The sequence below is a fragment of the Homo sapiens genome, chromosome 10 (genome assembly GCF_000001405.40).
Source record: "Homo sapiens chromosome 10, GRCh38.p14 Primary Assembly".
Lineage (NCBI taxonomy): Eukaryota > Metazoa > Chordata > Mammalia > Primates > Hominidae > Homo > Homo sapiens.
The window spans coordinates 87,000,770-87,014,501 of NC_000010.11; the positions used below are offsets into that span (position 1 = coordinate 87,000,770).

A 13,732-nucleotide genomic window follows, 5' to 3' on the forward strand; every position below is an offset into this window, starting at 1 on the left:
TTTCTTTCTTTTTTTTATTATTATACTTTAAGTTCTAGGGTACATGTGCACAATGTGCAGGTTTGTTACATATGTATACATGTGCCGTGTTGGTGTGCTGCACCTGTCAACTCGAGATTTACATTAAATATATCTCCCAGTGCTATCCCTCCCCACTCCCCCACCCCACGACAGGCGCTGGTGTGTGATGTTCCCCAAAAATAAATAAATTAATTAATTAAATAATAGAAATTCTCGGCTGCTTTTTATAGCTGTAGAAAAAAAAATGAAATCTTATTTTAAACTTTTCTTTTTTTTTTTTTTTTTTTGAGACAGAGTCTCACTTTGTCTCCCGGCCTGGAGTGCAGTGGCGCGAACTCGGCTCACTGCAAGCTCCGCCTCCTGGGTTCACCCCATTCTCCTGTTTCAGCCTCCCGAGTAACTGGGACTACAGGGGCCTGCTACCACGCCCGGCTAATTTTTTGTATTTTTAGTAGAGATGGGGTTTCACCATGTTAACCAGGATGGTCTCGATCTCCTGACCTCGTGATCCGCCCGCCTCCACCTCCCAAAGTGCTAGGATTACAGGTGTGAGCCACCACGCCCGGCGAAGCTGACTTTTCCCATTATTTTTAACGGTAATTCATAAAATCCTTGTTAGGTTTGATGACAGGTACCATATTAAGGGCAGCATTTTATAACCCATATCTTAAACATCATCTCTGGAAGTTGAGAGCCTCCAATGGGTTTTCTATAGAGTGCACATGATACCACACTCAGGCAGTTCATGGAGTGTAAGACATATCTTAGTGCTTTGTCATTTGACATTTTAACTGAGAAAAAAATATACTTTGATAAGTTTGACTTACACTTCCCTTCCCCTTCAGGTATCTACTGAGCGTTTCAGTCAACAATACAGCTCGTGTTCGACAATATTCCTTGATGGCAGCACAGCCAGCCAGCATTATCTTATAATGACAATAATATCGTGAGTACAACTATACTGCCGAGGAACAGATTCCTTTATTCTAAAATTATTTCAGCCATTTGGTTGTCCTCTTCAGCAATCAGTTTGAGAAATTGGAGTCAACCATATATTGATATCCAGATTCTCAATATTAAGTATCAGTTTCTCTTTTAATCTTAGACGTCGTGGTGGAAGGAAAAATCAGTTAGCAAAGAAGCAATCCCAGAAACAGTGTATCTGTTTGATGCCTTTATGCCTTTAGACAATGTTGAACACAGTGAGAAGGATAGGTTCCCTTTATTGAATGTTTTTTGTGAAAACTTAGTTTTTCAGTGCATCATAGGCCTAAATCAGTGTGCACTACTTTGGACATTATCCTTGGGAGAAGGAACAGCTTTTCTTCTTCTGGCACCACAGTGTATCTGCATTTGAATTTCTCCCATTGTGCATGAGCACCTCATGGGCCACAAAGATGTGCTTTGAGAGCACCCTGAGATGAAGTTTATTTTAAAAGGAACAATAACCAACACCACCACCAGCTCCACAGGGGCTGTCCAGTGTACATTATTCTCATCTCCTTGGGTTATTAGTCTTGATTTTTAGAACACAGTTTGGAAAGTGCTAATTTAGAATATTAATGTCTTTATCTCTAATTTAACTTTTCATTCTGTAAACATAACTAGCTTATAAACAATTTTGTTTCAAATGCACTAGCCTTTTTAGCTAATTCAATTGTCAATAACTTTTACTTCAATTAAAAGTGGCAAGTTTACACTCATAATAATGTCACTTTCCTCCCTCCCTTTTAACAATAGTTGAGAGGAAATTGTGTTTCGAACAAAAACTGGACTCAAACTCTGTCTCAAGTCCTGAGCTTTGGGACCTATTGAGTAATCACTAAATGTCTGTAGTCAGCCAAGTCTCTTAAATCTTTGAGCACACATACACAAAAATTACTTTGACTAGAGTCCCTGGCTTCTTCTGAGTTCCAAAGATTTTGATATGTTAGCACATAATTCAAAAGCAGCTTTGAAGATTAATTTTGCTGAAACAAATTTCGTGCTTTTTTCCTAATTATTCTACTTTTTAGAAGTCTACTTTTGAGAGTATAGTAAGTTTTAATTTGCCACCAGCGAGTTTGAGAAATAATCATTTGGTGTATTCACTATTGGTGAAATAAAGTTATTGAACAAATTAATAGGGCAAATTGGCTTCAAGAAGATATTTTGAAAAATGTTTTATCATGAATCAGTAGTGCACTGTTGTCAGTGGGATAGGTGGAACTCACTGAGATCACTTATGCAAGGTTTTTTCAAAATACAAGTCTGCAAACACATGTATCTTCCCATCTCCACTTTCCCTCTATCTCTAGGCACTGAGAAGCCTTTTAGGAAAATCAGGATGGATGTGAGGCATCTTTCTGTGAAGAAAAGCATCCCAGAAGATTCTGATTTTCACCACAGCTCAATCATTCCAAACTTTGCTGCTGATTGAAATCACCTGGGAAACGTTTACCAAGAACCTTGATGCCCAAAGCCATACCCAATACTAATTAAATTAAAATGTCTCATGTTGAAGATGAGGCAGATATTAAAGCTTCTCAGGCGATTTTAATGTGCAGCGAAGTTTGAGAGCCACTGCTTAATTTGAGTTTAGGACGAGAAACTGCTCCTATTTGGTGGGACCTTGGGCAAGTCAGTTTTAAGGTTTGTTTCCCTGATCTGTAAAACGAGTGTTGAATTAAATGTCACATAAGGTCACTGGTCCTTTCCAGCATGTAACTTTAAATTCTGTGATTTTAAAATTATTTCAGAGATGAAAACTACTTGAAGCACTATAGACATATCCATCTTACATGCTAATGTTACAGGCTTTTTAAAAAGTGCTAATATTGTGTAGACCTATTAGTAGAATTGAGATTTGCCTTCCCTCAGTTGTTTTGAGCCTCACTCTACAAAATTAGCTGGGCGTGGTGGCACATGCCTGTAATCCCAGCCACTTGGGAGGCTGAGGCAGGAGAATCTCTTGAACCCGGGAGGCAGAGGTTGTGGTGAGCCGAGATCACACCATTGCACTCCAGCCTGGGCAACAAGAGCGAAACTCCATCCACACCCCCCCGCCAAAAAAAAAAATTATCTGGACATAGTGGCGCAAACTTGTAGTCCCAGCTTCTTGGGAGGCTGAGGCATGAGAATCGCTTGAACCTGTGTGGTGGAGGTTGTGAGGAGTCAAGATGGCATCACTGCAGTCCAGTCTGAGCAAGAGAGACAGACTCTGGGTCAAAAAATAAATAAATACATAAAATAAATCGCATGGGACGAAAGGTTTCGTGGGTAGAAAAGCATATAACAGGGAAATCTGTTATTATTTATATATTGTAATCACCAACAGAAACGCATCTTCTAACAGCATTTTCCTTGCATTTTGGTTCTCATATTTTTGTAAAAAACAAAGAAATGAAAACAAAGTGCGCTTATGGTACTGTTCTGAACTAGAAGATTTGAATTTCAGGGCCGCTAGGAGAGTTTCCTCTGCCCCCCTTTTAAAAAATGTCTTCAGGCCTAACAAATGATAACATCTATTGTTATGAATTTTTTTTCCTTCCACAGTGTGACCTTGGAGATACATCATCATATCACGGAAAGGTGAGCTTTTTAGAAACCTGTCTTGTTATTCTAGCTAATTACTTTGCAAGATATCAAGCTCAGTGTTAGGTCACAGCTCTAGACATCATAAGCTGTATTGTGTCTACTAAAATATCGAAGCAAATTATTTGTATTTTCTTTGTTCCTTAAGACTCTCATAATTCTTAAATGATTGAGAATCTCAAAGAGTATGTGTTTATATTGATTATATTGATATTTAGTGTGGTAGAATTATACATTTGAAAGTTTTTCAAAATCTATTTTTAGTTTAGATTTCACAGCCTTACCACTGTTGATATTATGTGCTAGATAATGCTTTGTTGTGAGGACTGTCTTGTGCATTGCAGAGAGTTTAGCAGTATTCATGGCCTCTACCAACTAGATGTCAGTAGTAACCCATGACCCAGGTTATAACAACAGAAAATATTCCTTGAGAACAGTATTGTTAACAGAAATTTTTCATTGAAAAATAACTTTTCTACAACAAAAAGTTGAGTAAAAAGTGTGTCATGTATTTATATTATTTAAAGTCTCTCATGTTGAGCTTAATAGGAGACAAATGGATTCTCTAGAGCTTTATTTGCAATTTGCTTTAAAGAAGCAATAAGAGGCTGGGCACGGTGGCTCATGCCTGTAATCCCAGCACTTTGGGAGGCTGAGGCGGGTGGATCACAAGGTCAGGAGATCGAGACCATCCTGGCTAACACGGCGAAACCCCGTCTCTACTAAAAATACAAAAACTTAGCTGGGCGTGGTGACACGCACCTGTAGTCCCACCTATTCTGGAGGCTGAGTTAGGAGAACCACTTGAACTTGGGAGGCGGAGGTTGCAGAGAGCTGAGATCGTGCCATTGCACTGCAGCCTGGGTGACAGAGCAAGACTCTGTCTAAACAAACAAACAAAAAAAGCAATAAGCTGGTGGGGCGCAGTGGTTCACACCTGTAATCCCAGCATTTTGGGAGGCTGAGGTGGGTGGATCACTTGAGGTCAGGAGTTTGAGACCAGCCCGACCAACATGGTAAAACCAGCCTCTACTGAAAGTACAAAAAATGGCTGGGCATGGTGGTGCACGCCTGTAGTCCCAGTTACTTGGGAGGCTGAGGCAGGAGAATCGCTTGAGCCTGGGAGGTGGAGGTTGCAGTGAGCCGAGATCTCGCCATTGCACCGCAGCCTGGGTGACAGAGAGAGACTGTGTCTCAAAAAAAGAAAAAAAGAAGCAATAAGATGACCTAACCTCATGCAAATATGTAGTTGGTAGAAGGTGTATTTTTAAAGTTTTCAGACAGTTGTGGGTATTTGTTAACACTAAATCAAAACTTCACAAGTGGTGGTTTCTTAAATTAGTTACGGTGGCATTTTACATATTAATAAATTTATTCCATCAGTACTCATTGATCTTTCTTGCACAGTAAATGGATCTTTTGCTCCATACTTGCATTTATAATATCATGCATTAGTTACTTGGAATATATTGGTTTATGTTTTATTGTGTCAAAAATCACTTTTAGTTTAACCACCAATCTTAGTTTAACACGCCTTTAAGTATTGAAAAGCTGCCAAGCCTACAGTAGAAGGAAGAAGTTTTTCAAAGTCCACAGGAAAGCTTAAATTTTATCATTGGGAACAAATACGTATTTCCCTTGAAGTGACAACCTCTCACTTCATTTATTTTTGAGAATGATAGTTGAACTGGTTTTTTAGACCAAGTTTCACTCTGTCACTTGGCTGGAGTGCATTGGCATGATCTCAGCTCAAGCAATCCTCTCACCTCAGGCTCCTGTGTAGCTGGGACCACCGGTGTGTGGCACCACACCAGGCTAATTTTCTTATATGTTTGATAGAGACAGGGTTTCGTTATGTTGCCTAGGCTGGTCTCGAACTCCTGAAGGAGCTCAAGCCATCTGCCTGCTTTGGCCTCTCAAAGTGCTGGGATTTTACAGGCATGAGCCACTGCACTGGCCCAGTTGTACTTTTAAATAAAAATGATGTTCTGTGAAAAAAGTGATTTTTCAGTTCACAGTTAAATCATGGATTCTTTAAAAACAAAAAAAAAAGCGCTTCTCGTTAACTTTCCACTTATTCAGAATATTAGAGACATGTCAAGATTTAACAACATTAATTTTTACTGCTTCATCAAAGACATTCTTAAGAAATTCAGGCTATGTTTTTTACCTGTAGGGGACAGTGAAGAATAGAAAGACTACTAATGTAATTGGTACCACTGCCTTGATTTATGCTGAGAAACCAGCCATTGTACCCACTTTTGCTTTTATACAATCATGGCAAGTGTCAATAAAAAAGCAGGCAATGACTTTGTATTACTTTCACAAATTTTTAAAATTTTTCATCAGCTTTCTCAGGTTTAATTAGTATGATTCAGAACAGTGTTGGCCAGGCACAGTGGCTCAGGCCTGTAATCCCAGCACTTTGGGAGGCCGAGGCAAGCGGATCACCTGAGGTTAGGAGTTCAAGACCAGCCTGGCCAACATGGTGAAACCACATCTCTACTAAAAATACAAAAATTAGCCAGGAGTGGTGGCAGGTGCCTGTAATCCCTGCTACTTGGGAGGCTGGGGTAGGAGAATCACTTGAACCTGGGAGGTGAAGGTTGCTGTGAGCCAAGATCACACCATTGCACTCCAGTCTGGGCAACAAGAATAAAACTTGTTTTTTTTTTTTAAAAAAAAGAACAGTTATGAGCTCTTAGGCCTTCTGGAAGGGGTCTTCAGGATCCTGAGAGGTCCACAGAGCACATTTGGAGAACCACTGGTTTATACACAGACACAATGCATTAGTTTTACAAAGTTTAAAGTTCATCAAAGACTGGCCTCTTAAAAAGGCAGATGAGTTTGTCATTCAAACAACAGAAAATACATAAATACATCATGAGAGTATACTACAGAGAACTAAAGAGAAAGGAAGCTAGGAAATCTGAATCACATTTACATTTATTAAAGTTTACTACTACTGCTTTGTAGAACATTCTTGTGTTTCAATGTGTGGTTAGAAGAGTGAAAATATATTTGGCTTATTGCCATGGCCTGTTAGGGAGAGTCAATACTCATGGGCATTTCTGACTGGTTATCATATAAAAGACTTCACGGTACAGGCCATGATGTGCTGAGAAAGAAGAAGTCAGGAAACCCTCTGCAAGTCAGGATCCAGGAGAAGAATTCGTAAAAACTGCTTTGGTAAAGTAAACACCAAAGCACACAGGAGGCAGTATTTTACTAAACAAATATTATACTAAGATATTAACAGTTTTTGAAGTAATGCGCTTTCTTATTTTTTAGAGATGCAGATAGATCTTTGACCATACTTGATGAACAGTTATACTCATTTGCGGTAAGTGGCACTTTTATTGAGGTTGTATTTTCATCGTACACTTGTATCTGTTTCATGCTGAAGTCAAAGCCATCTTTTTTTAAATCTTCCCCATTTCATGTTGCATTTAGTCATCTTAAGTGTTGTAAAAAGAATGTGCTGGAGTAAGAACTGATCTGCGGCTCTGTTTAGTTAGTGAGCTAGTATGAGTAAATATACTATCCAAACAACAGAAAATGTATCTTTTTTTTTTTTTTTTTTTTGATGGACTCTCTTTCTGTAGCCCAGGCTGGAGTGCAATCGTGCGATCTTGGCTCACTGCAGGCTCTGCCTCCCAGGTCCCTGTTCAAGCAATTCTCCTGCCTCAGCCTCCCGAGTAACTGGAATTACAGGCATGTGCCACCATGCCCAGCTAATTTTTTTTTCTTTTTTCTTTCTTTTTTTTTTTTTTTAGTAAAGACAGGGTTTCACCATGTTGGCCAGGATGGTCTTGAACTCCTGACCTCGTGATCCACCCACCTTGGCCTCCCAAAGTGCTGGGATTACAGGTGTGAGCCACCATGCCTGGCCCAGAAAATGTATCTTTTTAAAAGGTAATTGTGAGCTGTCTATAGGACCCTGCAAGCCACTACCCAATTTTTGAAGCCATTCTTCTTCTGTTCCACACAGTTTTCCACCGTGCACATTACGAAGAAAAGAAATGGAGGTGGGAGTTTAAATAACTATTCCTCCTCCATTCCATTGACTCCCAGCACCAGCCAGGAGGACCTTTATTTCAGTGTTCCTCCCACTGCCAACACACCCACGCCCATTTGCAAGCAGTCCATGGGCTGGTCCAACCTGTTTACATCTGAGAAAGGGAGTGACCCAGACAAAGGGAGGAAAGCCCTGGAGAGTCACGCTGACACCATCGGGAGCGGCAGAGCCATCCCCATTAAACAGGGCATGCTCTTAAAGCGAAGTGGGAAATGGCTGAAGACATGGAAAAAGAAATATGTCACCCTGTGTTCCAATGGCGTGCTCACCTATTATTCAAGCTTAGGTGATTATATGAAGAATATTCATAAAAAAGAGATTGACCTTCGGACATCTACCATCAAAGTCCCAGGAAAGTGGCCATCCCTAGCCACATCGGCCTGCGCACCCATCTCCAGCTCTAAAAGCAATGGCCTATCCAAGGACATGGAAGCTCTGCATATGTCAGCCAATTCAGACATCGGGCTGGGTGACTCCATATGCTTCAGCCCCAGTATCTCCAGCACCACCAGCCCCAAGCTCAACCTGCCCCCCTCCCCTCATGCCAATAAAAAGAAACACCTAAAGAAGAAAAGCACCAACAACTTAAAAGATGATGGCCTGTCCAGCACTGCTGAGGAAGAAGAAGAAAAGTTTATGATTGTGTCCGTCACTGGCCAAACGTGCCACTTTAAAGCCACGACGTATGAGGAGCGGGATGCCTGGGTCCAAGCCATCCAGAGCCAGATCCTGGCCAGCCTGCAGTCATGCGAGAGCAGTAAAAGCAAGTCCCAGCTGACCAGCCAGAGTGAGGCCATGGCCCTGCAGTCGATCCAAAACATGCGTGGGAACTCCCACTGCGTGGACTGTGAGACCCAGAATCCTAAGTGGGCCAGTTTGAACTTGGGAGTCCTCATGTGTATTGAATGTTCAGGAATCCACCGCAGTCTTGGCACCCGCCTTTCCCGTGTGCGATCTCTGGAGCTGGATGACTGGCCAGTTGAGCTCAGGAAGGTTATGTCATCTATTGGCAATGACCTAGCCAACAGCATCTGGGAAGGGAGCAGCCAGGGGCAGACGAAACCCTCAATAGAGTCAACGAGGGAAGAGAAGGAACGGTGGATCCGTTCCAAATATGAGCATAAGCTCTTTCTGGCCCCACTACCCTGCACTGAGCTGTCCCTGGGCCAGCACCTGCTGCGGGCCACCGCTGATGAGGACCTGCGGACAGCCATCCTGCTGCTGGCACATGGCTCCCGTGAGGAGGTGAACGAGACCTGTGGGGAGGGAGACGGCTGCACGGCGCTCCATCTGGCCTGCCGCAAGGGGAATGTGGTCCTGGCGCAGCTCCTGATCTGGTACGGGGTGGACGTCATGGCCCGAGATGCCCACGGGAACACAGCGCTGACCTACGCCCGGCAGGCCTCCAGCCAGGAGTGCATCAACGTGCTTCTGCAGTACGGCTGCCCCGACGAGTGCGTGTAGTATCTGTTTTATTTGACTGCAGTCTCCTTGGTGTAAAAACAAAATGGGAAAAATAAGGATAACTCAGAATTTCAAAAGGAAATCACAAATTCAGCTAATAATAGCATTTTCAGTACTTTTCGTAAACTAAGTAAATACACAAAATGTTGATTTTTCTGACCATAAGACATATTTTATGTCCTTTTGCCGAGGTGGGTGTGTTAGTCTCAGGCCCTCCTGGCCACATTGCCCAAGTCACACAGGCTTCTGTATTATGTATTTAGATAAGATGTGTGAAAATATATTTGAAAAAAAGTTCATAAATATGCATTGATTTTTGTACATATGGCACCTCTTTTTCATTTTTATTTTTATTTTTTTTGGACGATGTTTTGCTCTGTCGCCCCAGCTGGAGTGCAGTGGCATGATATCTGCTCACTGCAAGCTCTGCCTCCCAGATTCACACCATTCTCCTGCCTCAGCCTCTCAGGTAGCTGGGACTACAGGTGCCTGCCACCACACCTGGCTAATTGTTTTGTATTTTTAGTAGAGACGTGGTTTCACCATGTTAGCCAGGATGGTCTCGAACTCCTGACCTCGTGATCCACCTGCCTCAGCCTCCCAAAGTGCTGGGATTACAGGCGTGAGCCACCGTGCCCGGCCCATGGCACCTCTCTTAATTTATAAATTGAACTGGATGTGAACTAATAATGTCAGCTAGTTGAGATAAGAGGGTTACAGATCTGGGCGCAGTGGCTCACACCTGTAATCCTAGCACTTTGGGAGGCCTAGGCGGACTGATCACCAGGTCAGGAGATCGAGACCATCCTGGCTAACATCATGAAACCCCATCTCTACTAAAAAATACAAAAAATTAGCTGGGCATGGCCGGGCGTGGTGGCTCACACCTGTAATCCCAGCACATTGGGAGGCCGAGGCAGGCAGATCACGAGGTCAGGAGATCAAGACCATCCTGGCTAACATGGTGAAACCCCGTCTCTACTAAAAATACAAAAAAAAAAAATTAGCCAGGTGTGGTGGCAGGCACCTATAGTCCCAGCTATTCGGGAGGCTGAGGCAGGAGAATGGCGTGAACCCAGGAGGCGGAGCTTGCAATGAGCTGAGATTGCAGCACTGCACTCCAGCCTGGGCGATCAAGCGAGACTCCATCTCAAAAAAAAAAAAAAAATTAGCTGGGCATGGTGGCAGGCACCTGTAGTCCCAGCTACTTGGGAGGCTGAGGCAGGAGAATGGCATGAACTCAGGAGGCAAAGCTTGCAGTGAGCAGAGATTGTGCCACTGCACTCCAGCCTGGGCAACAGAGCGAGACTCGGTCTCAAAAAAAAAAGAAAAGAAAAGGAGGGTTACAGATCATTGCACATGGAAAATATTTCCAGCAGTAAACACTCCCATTAATGTGATCTACAGCTTTTAAAAAGGAGCATCTCAGAATAAGATGGTGGTACAATTTGCTTATTGAGAAAGGAAAAAAAAAAACACACGAGTATATTACAAGGGGAAAAGAAGGAATGTGATTTCTCATGATTGAAAGCTTGATTTAGATTGCATACAGCTTTTGCTACCCAAGACCAAGCAGCTCTGGCAAGACAGGGTGGTTTTCCAAATGCCAGACCGAGGTGCCTTATGAAGGCAGCTGCCGATGGTTCCAGATGTAGAGAGATAGGTGATGCAGGAGGGAAAGCTGGATTGGAAAAGGGAGAGTTTTGTAGACGGGCTACACTCATTGTGGCTTTGAAAGAGCAGAGCCGGCAGCCTCTAGTCATCATTTGGATATACAGGACTAGAGCATGAATCTGATGTAGAGCTACAGAATGAAGAGCAACAGCAGCTGTTTAAATACCGAGAAAGTGTGTAGAATGAAATTGGACAAGCCAAGCATGGTGGTTTCATGCCTTTAGTCCTAGCTACTTCGGAGGCTGAGGTGGGGGAATTGCTTGAGCTCAGCAGTTTGAGTCCAGCCTGGGCCAGATGGTGAGACCCTGTATCTTAAGAAAAGAAAAAATAAGACCAGGTACAGTATCTCATGCCTGTAATCCCAGCACTTTGGGAGGCCAAGTTGAGAGGACTGCTTGAGTGTAGGAGTTCAAGACCAGACTGGGCAATAAAGCGAGACCCATTTCTACCAAAAAAAAAATCAAGAAATTAGCTGGACATGGTGGCACATGCCTGTGGCCCCAGTTACGTGGCATGGCAGGCTGAGGCAGGAAGATCACTTGAGCCCAGGAGGTGGAGGCTGCAGTGACCCATATTCATGCCACTGCACTCCAGCCTGGGCAACAGAGTGAGACCCTCTCTCAAAAACAGATAAAGTGGACAGAAAATAGGTCGGTAAGGACTAATCATTTAAGGCACAAGTCCCCAGAAGAGTGGCTACTAGAGTGGGAGGAGGAAAAGCAGAAGGAGAAAGAGTTGAAGATAGGCGAGGCTGTGGTCCCAGTGCTGAATTCTGCCAAGCAGTGACTTGATTCATGAACACTCACTGGATGCTGACCCTGTTGCTCTTCTGAGTGCTGGGGTAGAGGGGAGGAGAGGTGGAGCACAGTTCTTGCTTTTATGAGCTTATGTTCTAGGAAGTTCAAGTATTTTTTCAGGTAGTATGAAATAGCAGGAAGAGGAAGCAGGCTAAAGGGACACAGAGTGATTGGGGGCTATTTTAAGTAGAATGATAAGGAAGAGCCTGTCTAGAGAGCTATTTGAACAGTGACCTGACTGAAGGGACAACAGAAAGCAGTGCTGACATTACAGGTAGCAGGATGACTGCCAAGACAGAAACGCATTTCATATGTGTTTGAGGAACAAGCAGCAAGGTGACCAGCATGGGGAGAGTGGAGAATGAGGGAAACCTTGAATGAGAATAAAGCAATTCCATCTTGGAGGCTAATCTGCCATATTCTGATTAATCCCAGTTCCAAGAATTCATCTACGATTTCTATTTTATCTTTTTAAAAAATTATTTTTTATTTTTTATTTTTTGAGACTGAGTCTCACTCTGTCTCCCAGGTTGGACTGCAGTGGCACAATCTCAGCTCACTGCAAACTTCACCTCCTGGGTTCAAGCGATTCTCCTGCCTCAGCTTCCCGAGTAACTGGGATTACAGGCGCCTGCCACCACGCCTGGCTAATTTTTGTATTTTTAGTAGAGACGAGGTTTTACCGTGTTGGCCAGGCTGGTCTGGAACTCCTGACCTCAGGTGATCCGCCCACCTTGGCCTCCCAAAGAGCTGGGATTGCAGGCGTGAGCCACCGTGTCTGGCCATACACATCCCTGCCGAAGCCCGCATTACCCTTCCCCTATGCTATAGAAGCCCTGGGTCGGGGGGGTGGGGGTAATGGCACAGGGATCCACCATCTTATCTTGGTGTCATCCCTGACTTGGCTTCTGTTCATAAACGCCTATTAAATGTTTCTTTCTGAGAAACTGGATTTGTCAGCCTCTTTCTTTGGTATCTCAGGTTCCTTGGTCTTTGCGGGTAGGTTTATATAGACCTGCTCAGCACAGGACAGGCAGTTTCTCAAAAAATTAAAAATAGAATTACCAAATGATCCAGCAATATCACTTCTGGGTATATAGCCAAAATAATTGAAAGCAAGGTCTCATAGAAATGTTTGTACACTGATATTGATAGCAGTGGTATTCACACTCATCAAAAGATGGATGCAGCCTAATTGTCCATAGGCAGATGAATTGATAAAATGTGGTATATACATACAATAAAATATTCTTCAGCCTTAAAAAGGAAGGAAATTCTAACACATGCTACAACATGGATGAACATTGAGGACGTTATGCTAAGTGAAACAAGCCAGTTAGAAAAAGACAAATACTGTGTTCTTTCACTTATGTGAAGCGTCTAGACTGAGTAAGCAAACTAATAGAAACAGAAAGTAGAACGGGGGTTGCCAGGGACATGGGGAAGGGAGAAAATGGGAAGTTGCTTAGTGGATATAGAGTTTTGGTTTTGTCAGATGAAAAAGTTCTGGAGATTGGTTGCATGGCAATGTGAATATACTCTACATTACCCAACCCAAGGGCTCTCCTTGACCCCTGTTCCAACTACCACTTAGAAGTGGTTAAGGTAGTAAATTTTATGTATATTTTACCACAATTCAAAATAGAATTATTATTTTTTTTATTATAATTTTTTGAGATCCCTCACTCTGTTGCCCAGGCTGGAGTGCAATGGCGCCGTCTCGGCTCACTGCAACCTCTGCCTTCTGGGTTCAAGCGATTCTCCTGCCTCAGCCTCCCAAGTAGCTGGAACTTACAGGCACATGCCACCATGCCCAACTAATTTTTGTATGTTTAGTAGAGACGGGGTTTCACCATGTTCGCCAGGCTGGTCTTGAACTCCTGACTTCAGGTGATCCACCTGCCTTGGCCTCCCAAAGTGCTGGGATTACAGGTGTGAGCCACCATGCCCGGCTGTCAAAATAGGTGTTTTTTGTTTTGTTTTGTTTTGTTTTGAGATGGAGGTTTGCTTTTGTTGGCCAGGCTGGAGTGCAATGGCAGGATCTCGGCTCACGGCAACCTCCACCTCCCATGTTCAAGCAATTCTACTGCCTCAGCCTCCCGAGTAGCTGGGATTACAGGCATGC

General features: G+C 43.2%; 1 long non-coding RNA gene across 1 annotated transcript in view, besides 2 other annotated features; it reads left to right on the plus strand.

Moving 5' to 3' along the window:
• Positions 1–9,457, plus strand: part of AGAP11 (ArfGAP with GTPase domain, ankyrin repeat and PH domain 11) — a 39,891-nt gene extending 30,434 nt beyond the window's left edge. The window contains exons 8-11 of the long non-coding RNA NR_171046.1: positions 867–967; positions 3,556–3,591; positions 6,886–6,937; positions 7,586–9,457. This is a non-coding gene — a long non-coding RNA (ArfGAP with GTPase domain, ankyrin repeat and PH domain 11). The remainder of the gene's footprint in view (positions 1–866; positions 968–3,555; positions 3,592–6,885; positions 6,938–7,585) is intronic.
• Positions 11,529–11,729: a silencer, noted in NCBI's record as "peak1043 fragment used in MPRA reporter construct". NCBI's record gives its function as "represses an SCP1 promoter by STARR-seq MPRAs in K562 erythroleukemia cells {active_cell/tissue: K562}" and the evidence as "EXISTENCE:reporter gene assay evidence [ECO:0000049][PMID:32103011]".
• Positions 12,888–13,037: an enhancer, noted in NCBI's record as "active region_3702". NCBI's record gives its function as "activates an Ori minimal core promoter by ATAC-STARR-seq in GM12878 lymphoblastoid cells {active_cell/tissue: GM12878}" and the evidence as "EXISTENCE:reporter gene assay evidence [ECO:0000049][PMID:35858748]".